This window comes from Homo sapiens, chromosome 8 (genome assembly GCF_000001405.40).
Source record: "Homo sapiens chromosome 8, GRCh38.p14 Primary Assembly".
Taxonomy (NCBI): Eukaryota; Metazoa; Chordata; class Mammalia; order Primates; family Hominidae; genus Homo; species Homo sapiens.
Window position 1 is genome coordinate 85,825,534 of NC_000008.11, and position 25,255 is coordinate 85,850,788.

Consider the following 25,255-nt stretch of genomic DNA (forward strand, 5'->3'; position numbering starts at 1 on the left):
ATCATTTTTTATTGCATCTGCTTGATTCTTCTTCCTTTCATTCTTTAATAGTCTTGCTAGTGGTCTATCAATTTTGTTGATGGTTTCAAAAAACCCGCTCCTGGATTCATTGATTTTTTGAAGGGTTTTTTGGGTCTCTATCTCCTTCAATTCTGCTCGGATCTTAGTTATTTCTTGCCTTCTGCTAGCTTTTGAATGTGTTTGCTCTTGCTTCTCTCATCCTTTTAATGGTGATGTTAGGGTATGCATTTTTGATCTTTCCTCCTTTCCCTTGTGGGCATTTAGTGCTATAAATTTCCCTCTACACACTGCTTTAAATGTGTCCCAGAGATTCTGGTATGTTGTGTCTTTGTTCTCATTGCTTTCAGAGAATATCTTTATTTCTGCCTTCATTTCGTTATGTACCCAGTACTCATTCAGGAACAGCTTGTCCGGTTTCCATGCAGTTGTGCGGTTTTGAGTGAGTTTCTCAATCCTGAGGTCTAGTGTGATTGCAATGTGGTCTGAGAGACCGTTTGTAATAATTTCTGTTATTTTACTTTTACTGAGGAGTGCTTTACTTCCAACTATGTGGTCAATGTGGAAATAAGTGTGATGTGGTGCTGAGAAGAATGTATATTCTGTTGATTTGGGGTGGAGCGTTCTGTAGATGTCTCCTAGGTCCGCTTGGTGCAGAGCTGAGCTCAATTCCCGGATATCCTTTTTTAACTTTCTGTCTCGTTGGTGTGTCTAATGTTGACAGTGGGGTGTTAAGTTTGCCATTATTATTATTATTACTATGTGGGAGTCTAAGTCTCTTTTGATCACACTTTAAAGACCAAAAGGTAGAAGCGCAAAGACGTTATCTGTCCAATATTACAAACCTAGTAAGTGGTGGAATTTGGCCTTGAACCCAGATCTGTAACTCCAGAGCCGAAGTGCTTCACCCACCTCCCTGTGGTGCCTCTACAGAAAAAGAGGTAAGCAGGCATTCCGAAAGCTGGTGGGCCGGGGGGCTGGCCTTGTACTCAGAAGCCATGGAAGTCCCACGTGGGGTGGCTAGTGGTGTAAGGACAGAGGTCTCGGATGGGCAGAGGGATGTGGACAGGCGCGAGGGCGCGCGGCAGGGACTCGGGGGACTGGGAGTGGCGGCTCGGGGCTGCGGGAGGCGATTGGTGGAAGGACAGAGGTCTGGGAGGGGCAGAGGGATGTGGACAGGCCCGAGGGGCCGCGGCAGGGATTCCGGGGGACCGGGAGTGGGGGGTTGGGGTTACTCTTGGCTTTTTGCCCTCTCCTGCCGCCGGCTGCTCCAGTTTCTTTCGCTTTGCGGCGAGGTGGGCAGGGTGAGCTCTCGGGACTGATGGCGGTTTTGGAAGAGGCCTGGGGCTAAGGACAGGCCAGGGCGGCGGGAGAGGCGGACCGGTGGCGTGGCTGGATCTGGGCGCGCTGTCGGACCTTCCACATCACCAGCTGCAGGCAGGCGTTTGCGTCCTCGCTGGAGTTGTGGCCGTCCTGGCTGTCCTGGATGATCTGTGCCAGGTAGTCGGCCGCGAGATTCCTGAGGGAGCGCTTGTAGGGGAAACCCAGGTAGTGCGGGAAGAGCACGGCCGTGTCCACCACGGTGCTGTGGATGAGCTTCAGGGCCAGCAGGTCGCTCTCCAGGCTGTGCCCGATGAGGATGGTTTGGGCGCTGAAAAAGCTCAGCAGGATGGCTTGGACTTGGGGCAACGTGATGCTCGTCTTGGCGACGTCGGCCTCGGTGACTCCGGAAAACCTGGTGTTGTAGTCCACGATCTCGTTGTCGGGCTTGACGAAGGTGTCGTACACCACTCGCATGTCGGCGTCCACCACGGTGACGCGGGTCAGCTCTAGGCCATGCGTGGTGTAGCACATCTCACAGTCCAAGGCGTAGATTCCTGGATAAGCGTCTCTGGACAACTCTTTCTTGAAGGTCTCCACGAAGCCATCGAGGCTCTCCTTGCGGCCGTCCCGCACGTGCTGCTTTGCCACCTGGCAGCCCACAGAGCCAGGAGCAGCTGCACAGCAGGTGTACTGGCTAACCCGGCCTCCAGCCACCTGGCTCGAGCGGACCCGCCCCCAGTGATAATAACACAACTGGTCGCGTACACAGCGGCCCGAGGAGGACACCAGGTACTCGGTGCCACAACGGCAGCAGACCCTGCAGGAGGAGTCGCCGGGCCCCTTCCCCTGGCCAGTGAAGAGGACGGCGCCTCCGGGCCGCTCGGGGTGCGGGAAGGGGTAGCCGTTCTCCTTGAGCTGGTCCTGGGTGAGCAGGAACTCCTGGAGGCGGCTGTACAGGGCGGCCCTGCTGAGGCCGGGCATGGAGCTGGGGGTCAGGCCCTTCAGTCTCTTGAGGGTGTTCAGGACCACGTTCAGGTACCTGTTCTTGTTGGGGCTGCAGTCGTAGGCCACCTTCTCCTCGTTCAGCGCCTTCTCCTCGGCCTCCTGCTTGGAGGCGCAGAACTTGAGACACTCTTCGGTGAACAGTTGGAGATAGCCTCGGCGGAGGACGGTGGGGACTTGGCACCCAGAGCTTCGGAGGATAATGGGTTTCTTCAAACTCAAACTCGGTAAGGATGCACGACGGACGATTCGCTTAGAGCTGGTGGTGGCGGTGGTCTTGCATGCCATCCCTGACCTGTTGCGCGTCTTCCCTGGCTGTCTGCCGACCTTGGAGCCACGGGAGCGTTGGCTGCTGCTGGCCACCCGGGTTCTCTTGGCATCTGTGTAACCTGTGACCAAGCAAGGGCTGGAAGAGTGGGCGATCGTCTTCCTCTTCCTGGGGGCTGAGATGCGGACTCCCGAGGGCCTCTCTGTCAGCCTTGGGGCGGCTGGCAAGCGGCAGGCCGATCCCCTCTGCGCAGGGAAGTAGCACGACTCCGTCACCATCTTGGGCCACGCTGGGGGCACCGCCGGACCCCTGTTCTGGGGCTCCGCCTGGATGTCCACAAATGCTGAGGCCTGCTTGTGCATCTGGGGCACCCAGAGCCCGAAGCTCTGGGCAGGCTGATGAGAGGGCAGTGGGAATTCTGGAGCCTCGAGGGCCGCCTCCTCGGCCACCTTCTTAGCTTCTGGGTATCCAGGTGGGAACCAGCAGGGAGCTGTGGCTCGCAACATCTTGCTGCCTTCGGGAGCACCGGCCTGGCTCTGCTCCTCTCCCCACTGGCGGCTTCAATCAGTGTCGCGGTGGTCGCGCATCGCCTTTATATAGGCATGGGTCAGAGTGGGTGGGGCTTCTTCTTGATTACGTTGGTACTTTATTCTAATCACACTAAATCTCATCTTCCACCAGACTCCAGCTTCGGAATGCCTCAGAGGGTCTGCTAATGGAAGCAACTGGATCTCCTGGTTGCTAACCTTGGAGCTAGGTTGCTTTTCCTGAGTTAATTTACTGTGCCTGCACAGCAGTCCTATAATGGCTACTGGAACTGGGCTACTTAGGAGTAAAATGAGGTTCATGGAGGTTGTTCAACTTGTTCGGGCCCAGACAACATCCCACGGACCCAGGACTGGTGCAGCAGTCCGCTGCATGCTGGCGGGCAGGATCTCTCTGGGGTTGCGTTTCCCTGCTCTGTGCACTCTTCCACTGTGGGCAATTGGAGGACAGGAAGTGGACCACATCCACTTCTGTCCCAGGACATGGGCAATGTTGAATACTGGGGGTCTTCAAAAAATTCATAGAAAATGCACATGGTTAAAAAACTATTCATGGATTTCAGTTTGTTTGCACTAAAATAAACTTGTAGTAACTTTTTACAACCTTTCTGAACTAGACGTAGTTTGAGGCATAAAGAAGGATGAGACATCCACTGAAAACATCTCCTATCAGAGCAACATGAATTCCGCTAAAGTTGCAGCAAGAACAAACATTAAATTTATGGTGAAGCTTGAGTGGAATAATGTAGAAATTATTGATGTTTTATGAAAAGCTTGTAAGGACAATACCCCCACAGAAATCAGCCGTTTACCAATGTAGAGTTTGTTTTAAGAAGAGATGAGAAGATGTAGAAGGTGAATTCTGCAGTGGCTGTGAAAACCAACTGCTATGGAAACCACTGTGGCCAGATCAGCTGCAGTTAGGAGGAGAGCTTTCAGTGGAAATTTTAAACAGGAGAGATCATGGTCCTGTCTAAAATGTAAACTAAAAATGCAAACATTATCTGAGCATGATGGCGGGTGCTGGTAATCCCAGCTACTCGGGAAGCTGAGGTAGGAGAATTGAACCCAGGAGTTGGAGGTTGCAGTGAGCCGAGATCTCGCCACTGCACTACCGCCTGGGCGACAGAGCGAGACTCTGTCTCAAAAAAAACAAACAAAACAAACAAACAAAAAAACAAAAAACAAAAAACCCAAACAAACAAACAAAAAAGAACTTGCAATGTTCCAGTTATTTATCCATAATACCTTCCTCATAAAAATTCAGGAAAGGGATATTAGTTTGGGGAAATAGTTTCTCCAAAGTCTAGAAAATCTTGAAATAACTCTGCCACCTGTGAAATTTCATCTTCTCACTGAGAATACTCTCACCTCCCAGATATATTTTCTCTCATGTAACCAGCTGTGGGTACACAGTGAGGGTCTGGCTGTCATTTGCTGTTTTTCCTGCTGACCACTTCTTTCTTTAGCTGTACTTTCTTTAAATGCAGTGAAAGTCTGCATCTGGTCAAAGACTCATTGTGTCTTTAGGCCTGTGAGGCATTTTTATTCTCCTATTATGTACTGATTTAATTAGGTCATTTCTCAGAACTTTCCTGACCCCCGCTGGCACAGCACACAAAGGTCTGCAGAATTTTCTACTTCTATAAATCCTCAAGCATTCAGCCAGCACCTGTGAGTGCTTTTCTCAACTCAGACCCTCACAAAATACAGCTTTTCTCAACTCAGACCTCATTTTAATATAGAGGATGTGTGTGCTTGAAACCCTGGACGTTATTTTCATTGCAGTTAGAAAGTTTGTTATCAAATCCTATTTATAATGTTTTTGAACGGTGGCCTCATGTTGAACATAACAATGATGAAGAAATACAAAGCAGCCTGCATAGGTGGTGACAGAAGCGTGAGGACCCGGCAAAGTCAGGGAGAGTTAAGTGGACCAATTATGCAATCTGCGCAACAGAGACAAAGGATCTGCAGCATGGCTCCACCCATGCATCCAAGACAATGATCTCCTGCTGAAGAACTTCTAGACTGGCCTGTGGGGTTCTTTTGGTATCAGACCATTGTTCTTTGCTTCCCCATTTATTGCTTCTGTAACACACAGATTGGTTTAAAGCTTTTAAAAATCTATTAAATTTTCTCTATACCCCTGTTGAAACAAATTCTATGGTTAATTTCTTACATACTACTTTAAAAAATATTTTTGTTCTTACTCATCTCTCAGAGATTACTCATTCATGCTAATGCTTCTGGTCAAAACATGTGTGTTCCATTTTTCACACTATTCTTCATCTTCTAGATTTCAATTTTGACCAATTTTTAGTCTTTTAGGTTATAGGCCCACGAGTTCTAAATGCTAGTAAGGTATTAATATGGACTCCATTGATCTACTGCTGAAAGAAGTGAAAGGAAACTCTTGTATTAGATAATTTTAGAAGTCTGAGGAGGGCAACTGTTACTAGTAATTAGCACCTTATCAATATAACATATAAAATGAGATGATGGATGAGAGAAATAGTGGGAGAAAGTGCTTGCATCAGTGTTCTATTGCAGCATAAAAAGTTACCACAAACTCAGTGGCTTCAAACAACACAAATTTATTATCTAACAGTTTCTGTAGGTTGGAAGTCCAGGAATGGCAGGGCTGGGATCTCTGCTCAGGGGCTGATCAGGCTGAAATGTAGGTGTCTACAGGGGCGTGGTTTTCAAATGGAGTGCTTTCAACCTCACTGGTTGTTGGAAAAGTTCATTTTTTTCTCAGTAGTAGTTGTGCACTCTCCATTTTCCTGCTGGCTTTTACCCAGGGGCCATTCTCAGCTTCTAGAAGATGCCACAGGTCCTTGCCTCTGGCCCCCACAGGCAGTTCATGCATGGAGGTTTACATTTTTCTGGGCCAGCCTGAGCATATCTCTCTGAACTCTTCTGCTCTGGCCATCCAGAAAAATTCTCTGCCTTTAAAGGTCTCATTGTAGGTTAGGCTCTCCCAGGATAGTCTCCTTATTTGGTATCTTAATTACATCCAAGAAATCCCTTCACTTCAGCATGCGAATTGGTGTTTAATTGAATAATTGGGAGAAGGTGCGAGTACACCAGGGGCCCTAAATCTTGGGAATGTTTTAGGATTCTGCCCACCAAAATGGTCTGGGGAGAAATGAAGAAAACTTTTTTATGCTGAATATCCAGTGTACGGCGAATGAGCTGCTTGTGCCTAGTAACTGTAAGTGATTGAAGTCACAGCCTAGGTGCAGGTGGCCTCTCTGAACAGATTCCTGGGTTAAAAGGGCTCCCTTTCGTCAACCTCCTCTATCTACTTCCTTTCCACTGATGGCAAGTTTTACAAAGAAACCCACCCTACACTGAACATAGGGGTTCTTTAAGACTTCTGGACTTGATATGCAATCTACAGATCTCTTATTTGAGTCGCTTTTTAAAAATTAACTTTATTATTGAAGTATGATATTCATATAAAAAGTGACCTAATCATAAGCGTTCAGCTCAACAAATGATCACAGAGTGAACACACCCACATAACCACACTCATCTCAAGAAAGAGAAGCATCCCAAAGGCTCCCTTAATGTCCCCTCCCAGGCTTTATATCCTCCTACTTCTCTTAAATTAACCATTACCCTGATTTTTGATACCATAGGATTAGGTTTGCCTGTTTTGTGAGCTTTTTTATAACTAAAAACTTATAAATAACCTTTTCGTCAGACGTCTTTCATTCAATATTGTGTTTGTGAGTTTCCATTGGAAGAACATGCCACAATTTATTTGGCCATTCTATTGTTGATGAACCTTTGCACTGTTTCCAGTTTTTGACTTCTACAAATAATTCTGTGAACATCTTTGAACCTGTATTTTGGCGGGCTGTGCACACCTGCCTGTTGTGCATATTCCTAGGAGTGGAAATGGCAGGTTATAGAGAAGGCATGAGTCCTACTAAAACATTTACTGCCAAAGAGCATCTCCACCCTTAACTGTGGTTAATGTTCCAGTTTGGAGACTGTTTTACCCTCTATGCAGAGTAAACTTCCAATCTGCTACTGCAGTGGAAAGGCTCAGCCATCTACCTAGCGGAGTGAGTGAGGAAAGGGGTCTGGGGATTCAGCAGCCTCTTATAGTTTCAACTCATTCTCCCTATTTTAGCCAGCCCATCTCTCCTCAACCCCTTCAAGAGTTACCTGATGCTGTCAGCTTCAGAACATTTTGTCTTCTTTCATGGCACAAATTAGATTGCTTTTCAGCTTTCCTTATCATCAGTTTCGGATTCATTTTCCCCAGATCTGCTGCCTTTTTCTTTTCTCTTTTCTTTTCTTTTTTCTTTTCCCTCCCCTCCCCTTCCCCTCCCCTCCCCTCCCATCCCATCCCTTCCCGTTCCCTCCCCTTCCCTCCCCTTCCCTCCCACCCTTCCCTTCCCCGTCCCCTCGCCCCTCCTCCCATCTCCCGTCTCCTCCTCTCCCCTCCCCTTTCCCCTCCCCTTCCCTTTCCCCTCCCCTTCCCTTGCCCCTCCCCTTCCCCTCCTCTCCCTTCCCATCCCCTCCTCTCCCCTCCCCTTCCCCTCCTCTCCCCTCCCCTTTCCCTCCTCTCCCCTCCCCTTTCTCTCCTCTCCCCTCCTCTTCCCCTCTCCTCTCCTCCCCTCCCCCCCCTTCCCTTCCCTTCTTTTCCTTTTTTGAAGATAAAATCTCACTCTGTTGCCCAGGCTGGAGTGCAGTGGTATGATCTCGGCTCACTGCAGGCTCAACCTCCTGGGCTCAAGCAATCCTCCCACCTCAGTCTCCAGAGTAGAGATGAAGTTTTGCCATATTGCCCCAGACTGGTCTCAAACTTCTGAGCTCAAGCAATCTGCCTGATTCAGCCTCCCAAAGTGCTGAGATTCCAGGTGTGAGCCATTACACCTGGAAAAAAGAGGCTGCCTTTTTCATCTCTCCTGTTTTCGAGATTTTTGATGCTGCCATGCCCTCTCCCATTTTTTTGCCCCTATGGTTTATACCTTTAAGACAAAGTTCATTGTCTTTTGTTTTAATGAGGAGCTGGAAGAGAACAAAAGAAGAAAGCACATGTGTTTAACGCTATCTATCTGGTGAGGTAATATTCCTTTAAATGTTCAACATTCCTCCCGGAGTAAAGGGGTAAAGGAAGTTTCTTTGCATTATTTGAAATGGCTCATGGCTTCACAAAATAAGACTGTAGCCTGCTTCCTGTGGGTAGGATTTTGTTTCTCTCTTTTGTTATTGTTTTGGAGACATTTATGCATTTTTATTTTGCTTATAATGTGTCACAAGGAAACATACCATCTGCAGCACCAAGTCTAACAACATATAACCGTATGTTGATAGAACCAAAGATATTTATCAGCTGTGACTTCTGCAGTGATGGGTTAGTTATTAAGATATTTTTGAATTATTTAGATGTTTGTTTCTGTTTTATGCCAGTAGTTTGAGAAAATATGTAGCTTAGATCTCAATATAAACTGTTTTGCTGTGCATATTTAGGGGGAACAGATAGCACTAGTAGAATTAACAATGTTGTCCAATTGATAGATTCAAACACAGTCAAGAGTGTCTAGTGATATTGAACTCTGAAAATTGTGCCAAGTTATTCTGTGCCTACAGGCAGAATCACCTTGAGGTACATTTTTTATTATTATTATTATAGGAGAAATTACTTGAGGGGCCTACGTCAGTTAGGGTAAGGCAAGACCAACATATTCCTATTGTCCTGGGGAGGAGGGGAGGAGAAATAATAGACCATATGCAGGCCCCTGAAAGTGACCCTTCCAATGTCATTTGGATTAGAAAATGGTCCTGAAAAGAAAGTGGGAAAATTTATCCAGGCACCAAGTAACTGCTTGGAAGTAAAGAGATCAAGGTTCTTTTGTTTTCTTCATGGGTTTTGGTGTTAGAAAAACCTTTCTACTGTGTTGGAATGGCAATGAAAGATGTCCCCTGGTAGGAAAGGACATCACAGGTCTTGGAGGGAAGGTTGCCATGAATGAAAAGGGAGTGTGTATTTTAACTAGGGCCTAGAGACCCCTGGCATAGGGCTGACTCTGATACAGGAGGCAGATAAGGCTGAGAACCCTGCAGACCCACCCTACTCAGGCATATTGGTCCTGTTTTGGTATCAATGGTTAAATATGTGTGTACAAAGTAAACAGCTCAAATAGGCGGGTTTTCCAGGAGCCTCTGCTATAATCAGGACAAGTAGAGGCTTTACCGACAGTGATTATCCCATGGACCTTGGGGCCTTGGAAACACCAAAGTGTTCTGTGAGACACTATGTGACAATAATAGACACTGAGGCAAAGGAACAGAATCGGTGACACGGGGGGACCAGCCAGATGCTAGTTTACTCTCTGCCTGGCATTTGGAAAGAGAATTAATTCTTTTGAGCTGAGTAATTCTTGAACAGTTTCAATGAGAGAACATGTATACAGTGTTGATACTCCAGGAATGAGATCTCAGACTTTCTAGTATGAATGTATGTGAATTCCTAAATTGTTAACAGAAAAAATAGGAGATTAGACAATATTTTCATCTGGTGAAGCAGATTGTACCTCTCAATTTTTGTTAATGAGATCCCACCTTTCTGCCATATATATGTGTATCTCGTTTTAGATAATCTTCCATTAGTCAATGTTGAAAATTGGCACCCACATTGCAGGATTGTGATTAGGATTAAAAAGAAAGTAACGAATGCAAACACTTAACACAGTGCTTGACACATAGTGAATGCTAAATAAATCTTTATTGTTTCTGTTCTCTCAAGTTCTTTCTGGTTGCTACAAAGTGTTTATAGCACCAGGGTGTAGAAAAGCCATCTATGTTATGGGCTTTGTGATCTTAGCACAGAAGAAACATCTGTGTTATGGGCTCTGTGATTTTAAGCAATTTACAGTCACCTTCAGAATGGGAAATACTACAGCAGTTTCCCAGGGGTGTTGCAAAGGTTGAATAAGACAAAGTATGTGGCAACCGCCTCAAATACAGCACTAAAGGTCATGCAAAGTGAAGTTCTTTTGATTTTTAGTATCATTCCAAGGAAATGCCAAATCTGGCTCAGTAGTTAGACAATTATAGTGGCTAATCCTGAATCTTCATCTCTGCATTGAATAGTTCTCCCAGTGAACCTTCAAAGGAGAAAAAGATTGGAGGTAGATTCTTATTCCTTTCATTTCTTGAGGGGCATGCTGTTTTCTGTCATTTTTGGGGGATTGTTCATTGCTAGTACTTTCCCATGAGGGCATAAAGTGGTAGACAAAGATAATTGGTCAATATTGTTTGAGTTGCTTTAACCTAGGAGTCTGACTGCCTTCCTCCCTCCCCACTGAGTTCACTAGTACTGTATCTCTAAGTGCCTGAGTTCCAGCTCTTGTTCAACAGCAGCCAGTTTCACAATCTTGGCCAGGAGGGAATAATTGAAACCAGCAGAAGAAAGAACAGTTTTAAAAAGAGATTGCGACATGATGACTCAGTGACAATCAATTGAAGGAGAGTGGAGGAGTGGGGAAGTGCCGTGAAGGCCACTGTTTCATTCATTGAGAGTGCTGAACTGGCACCATAAGGAAGCCAGGAAAAGCTCCATGAAGCCAGATCTCCAGGCGGAGTTCTTCAGGGCAGAGGGGCACCACGCCTCTTTTTTTTTTTTTTTTTTTTTTTTTTTTTTTTTTTTTTTTTTTTTTTTTTTTTGAGGCGGAGTTTCGCTCTTGTTGCCCAAGGCTGGAGTGTGATTTCGTGATCTCGGCTCACCGCAACCTCCGCCTCCTGGCTTCAAGCGATTCCCCTGCCTCAGCCTCCTGAATAGGTGGGATTACAGGCATGCACCACCATGCTCGTCTAATTTTGTATTTTTAGTAGAGATGAGGTGTCTCCATGTTGGTCAGGCTGGTCTAGAACTCCCAACCTCAGATGATCCACCCGCCTCGGCCTCCCAAAGTGCTGGAATTACAGGCGTGAACCACCGTGCCCAGCCTTTTTTTTTTTTTCCCCAATTCCTGCAAAAGTGAGAAAGTGACCATTTCCCACAGGCAGTGGCTAAATACCAGGCATCCGGAGGGAAGCTGCGTGCGCACTCTCGGAATGTCCCAGGTCCTGATCTCGTCCTCACCACTTAGCTCCCATGGAAATTCGATTAGCGGCTTGGGAACAGTGGTGCTCATTTGAGGAGAATGCCAGCACTCTCTTCCACTCTGTTGATTATCTGTTCTTTACTACTTGGAATCATTCTTTCCGATTATGTTATCCCTGGCATCGGAATGCAGTTGTTGTGTTTCTGCCATCGGAAATGATTTCCCGAGTGATTCTCTCATCTCTTCCAGACATCTCTCTCCCCTTTCTCCTGCACCCCCGCCCCATTTGTCTGGCAGTGAGTGAGTCAGAGCTTCTTTCTTCTTTCTCTTTGCCGCTGGCATTAAAGGGAGACTCCTTAGCAGCTGCTCAGCTACCTCCCAGAGACAGCAGCCTTTCCGCAGTGGGAGCACTGATTTTATTGATTCTCTGCAGGTTTTCTAAATAGCGGGTCTTCCGTAAATCAAGCCTCATTGTGACTGTGAGTGAAATGGGCAGTAAAGACAGGTGCCAACAGTGGAAAACAATTTCCAACACATGTAGAAATTTAAGGAATTGTTATTCTTTGACTATGGCACTGCACTTTAAGATTTAGCTCGTGTTTGATTCAAGATTAAGTTTTACAGTGTTTGTCACACCAGCGTATAGAAAAATCATCCATCTCTTGCCCCTACACAGGACTCTAATTAAGTTACCTCAGACACAGGGGTGGATTGAAAGGTTATTTATGGTACAAGATTCCTTAATTTGTTTTTGCTTGGCCTCACAAGTTTCATCCTTCCTTTGCCATCTTATCTAGGGCAAGGTTCTCAATCTCAATTTTACTATTTTAGGCCAAATTTATTTTATTTGATTTGATTTTTTGCTCCTATGCATTGTAGGATGTTTAGCAGCTTCCTTGGCTTCTAGCCACTAGACGCCAGTAGCATACTCCCTCCTTTCCTAATAATGACAATCAAAATTGTGCCCTGGGGACAAAATTATCCCCAGTTGAGAACTGTTGGTCTAATGGAAGATAAGTAGAATAAAAGAAGGACTTAGAAGGCTTGAGCTCAAATCTTATTTCAAAGGCTCCTTAATGTAGCTTCTAACTTTAATCTTTGATTCTGGAATGGCCTGTGCTGTTATAGCCTGCAAGCTGGCCAGTGCTGCTGGCGTGAACTCTGGGATAACGAAGCCAAAACCATGTGTCTGATCCCAAGGAGGCCACAAAGCCTGGTCAATTCTATGATCCTAGACTGTTCCTCTAATCCCAGAAAGCTGTACTTCTGGAAACTCATTCTTTTCGAGAACGGAAATTCTTCTTCCTACCTTCAGGCTCCATTCGTTCACCATCCAGGTAGCCACTGTTAGCAATATCTTAGATGACCTTCCAGAGTTACTTCTTGAATATGTCAGTGAATGTGCATACAGGTTCCTGATCAATTTCCCGCTCCCCCAAATGGGCATGTTGTACATGCTAGAATGCACCATTTCTTTCTTATCAATAAATCATAGAATTATTCCATATCAGTAGATATTTCATTTCTTCTTTTTTTGGGTAAACTGCTATATAGAATTCTATCATACAAATGTATCAACTTATTTAACTTCTTTCACTGATTTGTACTATTATAAAAAAGTGCCATAGTGAAAAATTTGTGTAAACATCAAGAAGTGAAATTTCTTGGTCAAATGAAATATGCATTTGTAATTTTGATAGATAATGCAAATTGTTCTCTACAGAAGTTATAGTAATTTACCTTCCCACCAGCAATACATCACAGCACCTATTTCTCTGCAGTCAGGACAACAGAGTGCTACTACTTTGGATTTTTATCGATTGGTAGAAAATTGTTTCTCAACGTAGTTTCAATTTGCATGCATCCTACTATTGAAGAGGTTGTGTTTCTTCATATGCCTAAGAGTCATTATTTACTTTTTTGTGGACCATTTGTTCATTCCTTGCCTATTTTTCTTTTGGATTGTTGGGGTTTTTGAATGAATTTCTGTAAGTGTTATATATTAGGGAGACTAATCTTTTGTTATATGAATTGCAAATATGTTTTCCAATATGTCAATTGTTTTTTATTTCGTTCACAATTTTTTGCATAAATAAACTTTACAAAAATTTTATTTCATCTAACAAACAACTTTTCCTTCATGAATTTTGGTTTCTAATTACAAAGAAATTTGTATTTTTCTTCTTTTATTATTTTCCCTTTTTCAACATCTAAATTTTTAATCCATATGGGATTTATCCAGGTAGCTCAGTATAAGTTATAGATCCAATTTTGTGTTTTCCACTACTCAACCCCCCCCCCAACCCCCTTGCAGAACTCACTGGCTCTCTTGTTTATTTTTTCAAAGCAGGCATTTTTAAAGGGAGCTTACTAATGTAAGGACATTTTCTACTTTTCACCACATGAACAGTGCCTTCAGCAGTAGAGGGCTGGACTGGGGTGCAGGACTGTGGGCCATTGTCTCCTGCAGCACCTCTAGCTCCTCCAAACTACATTAAGGTCACTTCGTCTTTGCACAAAGTCCTCATGTACTTGCTCACTAGGTTTGCGGGAGTATATGGGATGAAATAGCACATAGATTAGGGGAAAGCCTGCTCCTTTTTAATTTTGTATAAATGTGGCCAGTTTGAAAAGAATCTCAAATGCATTCAGTGATTAGGAGTCAGTTGGCTCATTCTTGAGTTTGTGAGCATAGCCTGAATAACTTCAGCGTTTGACTTTCAATGTTTACCTTCAAGTGAAAGTACTTATTTATCTGTTAACCACTAATATGGTTTAACTATCTCCGCACCCACATCTCATCTTGAATTCCCATATGTTGTGGGAGGGACCTGGTAGGAGGTAATTGAATCATGGGGGCAGGTCTTTCCCTTGCTGTTCTCATGATAGTGAATAAGTCTCATGAGATCTGATGGTTTTATAAGGGGGAGTTTCCCTGCACAAGCTGCCTTCTCCTGTCTGCCACCACGTGAGATGTGCCTTTCACCTTCCACTATGATTGTGAGGCCTCACCAGCCATGTGGAACTGTAAGTCCATTTAAACCTCTTTCTTTTGTAAATTGCCCAGTCTCAGGTAGTCTCAGCAGTGTGAAAATGGACTAATACAACCACACTTGGTTCTTCTTTTTCCCTGTATTAACCTATCTTACTTGAGTAAAAAGAGAATACTATATGGATGTATGGTTCTTTCAAATTGTGGTTCTCAGGAAGGTCTATAACCTAATGTGCATTTTCATGGAGGGGAAATAGATCAAGATCTCATATTTAAGCAGATCCACCCATATCTGCTGTCTTCTACAACAGATCCTGCCATTTCCTTGCCAACCTCTTAAAACTCTTATTGCTGAGCTGGTCAGGCTCCATGGCTTCTGTGTGTGTGCCAAAGCCTGACCACAGACACCTCCATCATTCCTTCAGAAGCATTTTGTCAAGCTGGTACAAAATAAAAGCTGGGATCCTGGCTGACCCGTGATAGCACCCACTCACTCAACTTTACTTACAACGTTAGTAATTTTCACACAATTACTAATGCGAGAAAATAAAAATAGCTTGAGAAACACCAATAATTTCAATGAATCATTCAGATGGCATTATTTAACTGTATAGTCCCAGACACACCCTATAGTTCATATATACTGTGCATTTGCAAATAGTAATTTTGTCCTTTATTTTAAGTCAAGAATTCATAAGGCATGATATCTGTCTTGAAAATCTAAGCTCACCTTGATTCATGTCAAGAAAACTAAGAGCCATGCTTCATTTAAATTGGAATCTAAAACATTTCATTGGCAATCTGCATTTTAGAGACTGCAAAAATATCTGCCGAAGAAAAGCAGGAATTGGTCCTGTATGTGTTCAATTTCTCAAGATGTTAGAACAACTAACAAAACTAGCACAGCACTTTGATTTCCTTTGTTTTGAAGATAACACATTAGCTTAATTTTGAGCATTTTGTTCAGAGAAACACTAAGTGGTGTGATAATGGACGCACCACATAGATAATGGACGTAGCACATAGATTTTCACATTGCCAAGGATGTGAACAAGAAACCCATGGGAATACGATGTCTGGAAACTGCTTCATAGTGTCAAACTTGTCCATGGGTCCCAGGATCATTCCTTATTCTTGGCTATTAGTCTGCAAAATGTGACTTAGAAAAGACAAAAGGAAAGACCAGGCATGCAGTGGGTGTGGTGGCAAGGTTAGCACCATTTTGCCCTTAGATTTACACTGTCTGAGTCACCTTGACCACTTTGCTCTTTGGGCATCTACCTCTGCAAATAGAAGCTCTCAATGCTGAGTTCCAACCTGTTAACAATAGCAAAGGAGAAGTAGTCTGTTGCACTCATTAATTTTTCAGTGCCTTAAGGTCAGAGACCACACCTTCTTTACATTTTGCAACTTCCAAACCCAGCTGTATGCCTGGAACTAAAATAAACTGGCAACACATTTAGAACCATCCTTGATTCTCTGACAGGTAACTTGGTTTCTCTTTATAGTACAGTTGCTAATGTGCAGCTTCAGGCAATTTAGTCTCTCTCTGTCTTGTGAGGACCCAGACATTGTAAGTGCTGTATAAAGCACTTTTTTTTTTTTTTTTGGCCATGCTTCTTACCATGGTTTATCTTCTTAGAACTTAAGCTAAGACATTAAAAAAAAAATGCAGGTGGGGGATGTGGAGATGGGGAACCAACTTAGTAAATAGTAGCAAGACCATTTTGCCTCAGGGTATTTGCTTTCTACAAAGGGTTTCTTACAGCAAAGGGACGAAAAACACTTTGTCCAGATAGACATCTTGTCATAAGTGTTCTTTGTGTTCTTCAGAATTAATGGATAGTGAGGAACTTTCATATTCAGTTTTGATTTCTCTAGTCAATGAGCAGCTGCTGTTGTCCTCCTAAAAAGAAATTTCATTTTGTAGAAGATTTAGATCTTGGTAGGAAGGAATAATATTTATAGAAGGTCTGAATTCAGTGGGTAAATTTCTTACCTCTTCCTTGCTATAGTTGGCTTTAAATATATATACATTAAAAAAAAAATCACAGTGCTTGCATTACCACACCCTAGTCCTCACTCCTGGGCCATAATCCTTCCTATTTACTCTTATTTCTCTGGGCAGTTGAGCTGCTCCGGCTTCTTTTGGCTCACGAAAGCATTACATCATCATCCATTACATTCCCCCTATTGACCACATTGGAAGGATCTCTATGTTCTGTTTTAGCTCTTCAGCCCCACAGGTATGGCATAAATAAGAAATGTCAGACTTGTATAAAGGGCCTTCACGCTGCTATTTATTCTTACCCAGTCTTTAGTGGGTTGCTAGCTTAGGGCCCTATTTTCTAGCCTAATCAAAAGAGAATTGGTGGTGTACTTAAGATCTAGACCTGCTGTTTTGGTAGAATATGTAACTGCCTAGATAATGGAGTTGCAAGGATGAGAAGCCAAATCTATCCTTCATCACTGGATGCTGTCTAAAATTTGACTTTTGGAGTATCATCCTTTTATCTCTAAGCACTAATAAAGCATAGAGTGTGAAGAGAGTAGGGACAGAACTAACATTTTTGAAATCTGATATGTGCCAGAGAGTCTTTTAGGCAAAATCCCTTATTACTGTCTTTTTTTCTTTAATTCATGCAATAAAACTGTGAGATAGATACTATTATTATATTCATTTTGTGGATGAAGAAACTGTGGCTTAGAAAGAGCCTCAGGTCACACAGCTAGTCAGTAGGAAACCACCACCAGCACACAGTCAGTCATTACAGAAAACAGGATTTGAACTCTACTCTTCAAATCAGACTTGAAATTACTTGCTGTTTCCATCATATCCTGGGAGGAGTCTCAGAGCAGTCTTCCCAGTTAAGGAGTAGCCTCTCTTGGGAAGGAGAGGTCACTACTACAGGAAGAGGGAAAAGAGCAAGAGTGCTGAGTTTACAGAATATGATCAGCTGTTCATTGACATGTTTGCCTGGAAGTGGCCCTGCAGGCGCTGGCTGCAGAGCAGGTCTCTCCTGGGACTCCAGGGGAAACAGGTTACACAAATATGCAATCAGAGAATGCAAGAGTGTATGAGACCCTGGAAATCACCTAATCCAGCTCCTTTCTTTCACCGCAAATGAAGAAACAGACAGGAAAAAACTTACCCAGAAAGATGAAGCAAGTTCAGGGCAAAGCAGAGTCTATAAGCCATGCACTCCAATCTACCAGTTTCCTCAGCTTCTCAACCTCCCATATCTGCTTGGGCTGCCATCTTGGGTTATTATTCTTGGTCCAAACCTCAAACTCCATCACTTAATAATGCGTCAGCTTCCTACTAGCTATAGAAGTGAATTGTGAGGAGTCTGGTGGTTTTAAAAATATTTTTCTGGATAATTCAGAGTCCCCTGTTTCCAGAAGTACATTATTATCTGCATATACTATATTACTCATCATGTGCACTAGAACGTTGGCTCCTACTGCATGAATACAGCGATCACACTCACACATGCCACAACAGCAGCAGTGTCATTAGCATGGTGTCATTACACATGCACAGCCCACAGATGTTCCCCATTTCTAATCAGCCTTCCTCTACTTATTTCTTCAAATTATATGAAATTGTTTTCATTATTTCATAATGAACAGGACGGTAGAAAGCTTTAGCTTAGAGAGTTAATTATAGCCTTTAATTTTAAATCTGCCTCTTCAGAAGGTTGCTCACTGACTTAAGAACTATCTTACCCCAAATTGCCTGCAGCTCATATTTCCTCATGGCCTTCCAGGGCTCTGCTGACTCATGGAATAAAATTACTTTACCTTCTAGTGCCTCCAGTTTCTCATTTGTAAACTGGAGTGGCTGATACAGACCAGCTTTGAGGCATTTTTGTGACAAGCAGTAAAAAATGGTAGCAAGCTTAATTGTAGCTTTCTTGGACTCACTGCACAAGGGCATTCTCAAAGGTCTAAATGACTCTGTTCAGTTCAGTACATCAGTAGTTCAGAATCTTATGTTTTCGTTTTATAATTTTATCCTATAATTTAATACAAGGATGAAAGTTAACTTGTGAGTCCCTAAAAGACATACAGGAAAAAGAAAAGTTAATTTCTTATGTTGAGTTCTGACCTGAGCAGGATCACATTAGGTAAAAGTAGATCAGAAAAATGATCATCAGAATATATAAGAAAAAGAAAAGGAAATTGGATTATTCTGACGAGATTAAAAGACAATTGAAAGGTCAAAGTGACAAAAATTATCTCGTTATTTCTTGCATATGCTTCTTTGTTGTGGTTATCTTTTGTTCCCACATGGAAAAACTATTATAGTTCACCTAGGTAGCAAACCTGCACTTGTACCCGTGAACTTAAAAGTTAAAAAACATATATAATGAATGTCCATATAAGCCTGACACTGTTACAAATTTTTATTTCTTATGCTAAGTGCATTTTAATAAAATTTCTAGATTGAGAAAAAAATTAAGTGCTCAATCTTTTTTAAAAAGAAAATTTTTGTAATCTAGTCCTGGTGTGTGTGCATAGATGATGTTACATATTGGATTTTAAAGGATTAATGAATGTTTCAAAACACCTTCATCTTTGCTGAATGATGTTGGCGGGGTTTAAAGCTGTTTTGTGTTCACAATACTTCCTCCACAAAGTATTCACACACCATCTCCAGCTGCTGCTATTCTCTCTGCTACTTCTGCACTTTTTCCATGGCTCCATTACTGCCCCTTGACTGGATGATTTATGTGTTTAATATTCAGGCTGTCTGTCTTACTAGCATGGAAGTTCTTTGAGGTGTTTCTTTTCTGTGTAATCTCACAGGCATTATATATAGATGCTTAAAAAATCTTGTTGAGTGAATTAATGAATTAATGAGTGGGTGGATGGATGATGGTACCAGTCAGGCTAAAATACATAACTGCCCATGAGAAGTTACTGTTTGGCACTTGTATTGGTCAGGATTCTCGAGAGACACAAAACCAATAAGATATACATATACAGTAATGTGCTATATAATGATGTTTCAGTCAAGGAGGGAGCTCATTTATGATGGTGGTCTCATAAGATTATAACGGAGCTGAAAATTTCCTATCGCCAGGTGGTGTTGTAGCTGTCATAATGCAATACATTACTTACATGTTCATGATGACACTGATGTGAACAAACTTACTTCACTGCCTGTCATTTAAAAGTATAACATATATAATTACGCACAGTACATAATACTTGATGATGATACTAAATAACTACGTTAGTGGTTTGTGTATTTACTATACTATACTTTTTGTTATTATTTTGGAGTGTATGCCTTTGACTTATTACAAAAAAAAAAGTTAACTCTGAAACAGCATCAGGCAGGTCCTTCATGGGGTATTCCAGAAGGCATTGCTATCATAGGAGACGACAGCTCCACGCCTGTTATTGCCTCTGAAGACCTTCCAGGAGGACAAGATGTGGATATGGAAGAAGTGATATTAATGATCCTGAACCCATGTAGGCCTAGAATAATGCATGTGTTTGTGCCTTAGTTTTTAACAGAAAAGTTCAAAAAGTAACAAAAATTTAAAAACAGGAAAAAACTTGTAGAATAAGGACATAAACAAATAAATAATTTCTCTACAGCTTTATAATGTGTGTTTTAAGCTAAGTAAGTGTTATTACAAAAGCATCAAAAACTTAAAAACAATTAAAAAGTTTAAACATAAAAAGTTATAGTAAGCTAAGGTTAATTTATTATTGAAGAAAGGAAGGTTTTGTAAATTTAGTGTTCCCTAAGTGTACAGTGTTTATAAAGTCTACAGTAGTGTAAGGTAATGTCCTCAGCTTTCACATTGACTCACCACTCACTGACTTACCCAGAACACCTTCCAGCCCTGCAAGCTCCATTCATGGTAAGTGTCTTATATGGGAGTACTATTTTTAATCTTGTATGTCATATTTTTACTGTACCTGTTCTATATTTTGATATAATAATACTTAACCATTATATTACAATTGCCTACAGTATTCAGTATTCAACACAGTAACATGCTATATAGTTTTGTGGCCTAAGAGCAATAGGGTCTACCTGATATGCCAGGTGTGTAGAAGGCTATACTATTTAGGTTTGTGTATGTACATTCTATGATGTTCACACAACAATGAAATCACCTAATGACACATTTCCCATAACACATCCCCATTATTAAGCAATGCATGACTGAATATATATATAGAGAGAGAGAGAAAGAGCGAGAGAGATTTGTTTTCATGAATTGGCTCACATGATTATGGAGGGGGGCAAGTCCAAAATTGATAAAGCAGTCCAGCAAACTAGAAAGTCAAGCAAGAGTTGTTGTTGCAAGCTTGAGTCTAAAATATGCAGGACAAGAGAAGGCTTGAGACTCAGGCAGTACTTCTATTTTACAATATTGAGACAGAATTCCTTCTTCTCCAATAAACCTCACTTTTTGTGCTTAAGGCCTTCAAATAATTGGATGGGGTTCACCCACATTATCTAGAATAATCTCCTTTAATTTGTCAACCAAATAAAAAAATGGAAGGGCTCTTTAAAAGAAAATAATATTTATTTGAGAATAGGATGTGACAATGAGAATACACATGTCATAGTAAACTATGTGCATGGCCAAAGAGGTGAAGGAAGACAAAGATTTTTAAAGGAAAATGAGTAGGATTACATAATTGTTTTAAGGTAATCATCCTTGGCTTTGAGGACCAATAACAAGTCTGGCACAAGTCTGAGGTTGGATAAGCAGTTGCTGGGCAGATGTCTTCACAGACGTATTTTTTGTGTGTGAGATTGCAATAACTTTTGTGCCAGGTTATGGTTTTTGCCATCTTTTATAACAGTTATTGTTATCAATTATTTATGCATGAGAATCTTTCCTTCATGGCCTTCCCTAGCTCTATCAGGTTTCTTTCTTTCATTTCATTTTTTTTCTTGACACAAGTGACTTTATTTTGATTCTGACAACTTTCACATTTTCCTCTTTTGATCAAGATCTTTCTCTAAAAGAATCATTGAGCAATCATCTATAGTTAGGTTTTTATTGTTCTCCAGTGCCAGGATGGACCTGTCCTAGGTTGCTGGTCTGGTTCCACATTGGAGGCATTGAATGCAGCTAGGACCCAGTGTCAAAACCCCTTTAGCCACATTTGAGTGGCAAGAAAGGATTAGAGGGAGTGCTTCTCAGGCTAAGTCTACCCAAAGTCCACTGTTAAGTTCAATTTTGCCTGTTCCATATCTTTTGTTATTATCTCAAAGTGTTGGGCTAGCATTATTCTGTTAGGAGTTGTACTGCAAAAGTTTAACAAATAACAGATACAAAATCTGTAGTCTAAAAGTCTTGGGTCTGCAGGAAGTGACAATTTTTACTTATTCACTGTAAGGCTAGGAACCCTTGAAAGGAGGCATTCTATGCACACTTTCAAATATTGCATTTCAGTCAAAGCCTTGGTAATATAAACAAAGTTTACAGTTATATCCTGTTATAAAGAGAGAGCAAATTCTTATTTCACTTATGCAAACAACTCTATTTCTATAAGAATGTTCATGGATAGAGTCTGAATTTTAGAGGGATCAAGTAGGGAGAAAAAGCACATTCTTATACATTTGTTCACAAAAGTATACTTTACCAAATTGTTGTAAACTATAGCTAGCTTAAGAGAGAAAGTTTTCTTGAATCTGGAAAATAAAACATTTAAATAAAGAACCAATAGTGTTTTAAATGAAAGTCACAAAAACTTTATCTTATCAGTTATTTAATCACAGTTAATTAATCATCAGTTAACCTTTTAATTTTTGTTCTGCTTGATTTTGATTAGTAGTTTTACAAATTCAACAGTTTATTCATTAGCGTTCTGAAATTTTTTATTTAGTTCATTGGTCTTAAAATTATTGCAAACCTTTATTTAAGAGTACTTATTAGAGTCTTTTCCATAAATCTGATTGCAAATGCTTTTAGAGAAAAATTAAAACAATAACTGTGAATGATAAAAACTTAGAATAACCACAGTCAAAAATCTGATGGAAGCTCATTATAATCAGCAATTTACAATGCATTTGGTTATTTTTGTGGCATACAACATGTAACCAGAACTATGACCAATGACATTAAATTTTTAAGAGTTTTAAATAATTTTTGAACACTAATACAAAAAACATACTCGTAAATGTAACTGAAAGAAGATCTAGTATCATTTATCATTTGCCAGTGCTTCCCATGCAACTTAACAAATACGCCTACTCATCTAATATCTCTACAAGAAAGGAGATATATCTTTCGAGGTTCTCCAGGGGCCTGACTAGAAAATCTCCAAGTTAATTTTAGGTCAAAAATTTTTAATTTATAATTTTGACACTAATGAAGCCCATCAAAGATGTCAAAAGACTTCAAACACTTTATCAAAACAGACCACAGGTCACTGTGAAATAATAATAATCATTCATTTAACCAGTGTGATAAACAAAAGACTTCAAAAGCAACACAGCAAGTTACATAGATATTAAAAAAAACAACTCTTTTAAAGCTCAGTTTTCCTAAGTAACCAAAAACCTAATAAAAGCGACATAAAATTATCTTGATAAATACAAAATCTTTGTTTCTTATGCTGACTACCAAAACAATAAAAACAAACAAACAAAAACCCAAATACTTTCTGCAGTGTGATTCCTTTTTCTTATGGAAAGCCCATTTAGATAACCTGGAATTTGAACCTGATGAATAAGTACTTCAATTTAATTTTGCAAAAGAAGAGAATGTTTCCAAGTTTATGAGTATACATCGTATTATAAAAGAAGTAAACAAGAAAACTAGTACCCAAGACAGGGATTACATGGAATAATTCAGACACATCAAGAAAAGCTGAGTACAGAATCAAGTTATATTGGAGGGAATCATTGCTTTTCTAAAAGTTCAAGATAAACATTTTAGCATTGGGCCGTAAGAGTAGAGTCAGAACCATAAGAAAAAAAAGTTACAGGAGCTGACAAAAAAGTGGAAGGAGAGACTTATCATTCCAGACCTTGTCAAAGGGAGAAAGAGGAAGAGCAGAAAGCAATAAAGTATGACATGCAAATCACGTGCAATCAAAGTTGAATTTCTGAGCTAGAAATCTGAGAAGCCCCAATAAGAAAACTCTACCTTAAGAAATGAAATTACCATTCTAAATGAAAAAGATAGCATTTTTAACCTGAAACTAGAGAAATTAAATGGATCTCAGGAAGCACTGTGACAGAAATAGAACATGTAAAACAGGAAGAAGCTGCAATTCAAGAGATTATAAAAAATTTAAAGAAATTTATTTCAGAATAAACATCAAAACCTCTTGCAATGTTTACTAAGAGCAGATTGATACTTCATTAAAAAAAGGAGAGAAAGAAACAAACATACTGTTTAACTTGTTTACTAAGAACAGATTGATACTTCATTAAAAAAAAAAGGAAAGAAAAGAAACAAACCAGGCATAGTGGTGTGCACATGTAGTCCCAGCTACTTGAGACGCTGAGGCAGGAGGATTGCTTGAGCCAAATAGTTCAACTTCAGCTTCAGCAGCTTAGTGAGACCTCATCTCTAAAATACATTTTTTTAAAAACAAAATAAACCTTGTTCTAACATAGTGGAACACATTTTTTAGTTTTGAATTAATGTATTTTTAATATTAAAGTTCAATCTTTAAAAAGGCTTATAAATAATTTTGTTCTAATAATAGCCAACTTCATCACACACAAAAAATTTATTTTATAAATTCATTCTTTACAGACCTTTTACAACCTGCATAGGCCCTTGGTAACATGTTTAGAATTTCTGCTTTGCCCTATACTTCCTCTTTCTTAAATAACCAGTCATTTTACTCCAGAACAAAAATTTACTACACAAGATTCTATCTCATACAAAATTATTGTCTTTTTAACCTTTCTTATCAAAAAATACATTTCCATACTTATAAATTTCTTCACATTTTCCTCTCCTTCTTACTGGTTCCTTTCTATCTTGTTTCTATTAACTTCCTAAATTTATTTTTTGAGACAACTTATAATAAACTCTGAATTTAGACAAAATTATTCTTTTTTCTGAATAAAGAATATATTTTATGGCTTTATCATTAAAATACATCTTTTGATATACTTTATATATAGAATTATATATTGATTAAAATGTTAAACTCTTAGTAACCTTAATTTCTAGTGAAAACTTAGGAGGCAAAAAATTATAAACCATCTCTCACATATCAAGTATTTTATCTTATTTAAAAATGACTTAGATATTTAATGAGTATCTATCACTTTATTTAACATAACATTAAGACTTTAAATTATGTAAAAAGTTTATTTATATATGTTGATCCCGTTTCAATTTAACCACTGTATTTTAAACAGTTTAACTTATGAAAACTGAGATATTAGACAAAGCTAGTAGATGTTTTAAGTTGTTTTCCTGTTAAATATTTTCATAACCTATGATTATTAGGTGTTCACCTAAGTAAAAATATTAAAGTTAAATAAATGAATATTTTCCCAATACCTCAAAACATACAGCTGTTTTCATTATATCAACAATATTAAACAAGGTCATTCTGTTTCTAGGCTAAATTTATAGTTTTACAAGCTTTGTGTCACACCCTGACACTTTAAAACATCTATCAAAGACAAATATAAAATTGACCAGTAAATCTAGGCAAAAATGTATATTGACAATTCTGAAGACATTTCTATTTTTACTTTATCAACAAATTTAAAACCAAATAATTTATCAAATATTTACTTAAGTCACATTAAAAATATTTGGGTTTGTTATATTTTTGATAAAATATTTAGGCACTTTTTTCTTTTAAGTTAATCAGAGCTCTTTCATATATTGTAGTAAGAAAATATCACCTACACACAACATAAAAACATACAGACAACACAAATATATAGACAGAAGCAGGTTCCCTAGCTTTTATTTTGAAATTTTAGTCTTGAGACAGTAAAACAGTAACATTAACATAGCAATTGATTAAAGACATTTGAATCCAAACTGTATTTCTGACAAAATAGAACCTGTTC

The 25,255-nt window shown here is 40.4% G+C and overlaps 1 pseudogene; it reads right to left on the reverse strand.

Annotated features, from left to right (window-relative positions):
* On the reverse strand, positions 1,171-2,306 carry REXO1L6P (REXO1 like 6, pseudogene; annotated as a pseudogene).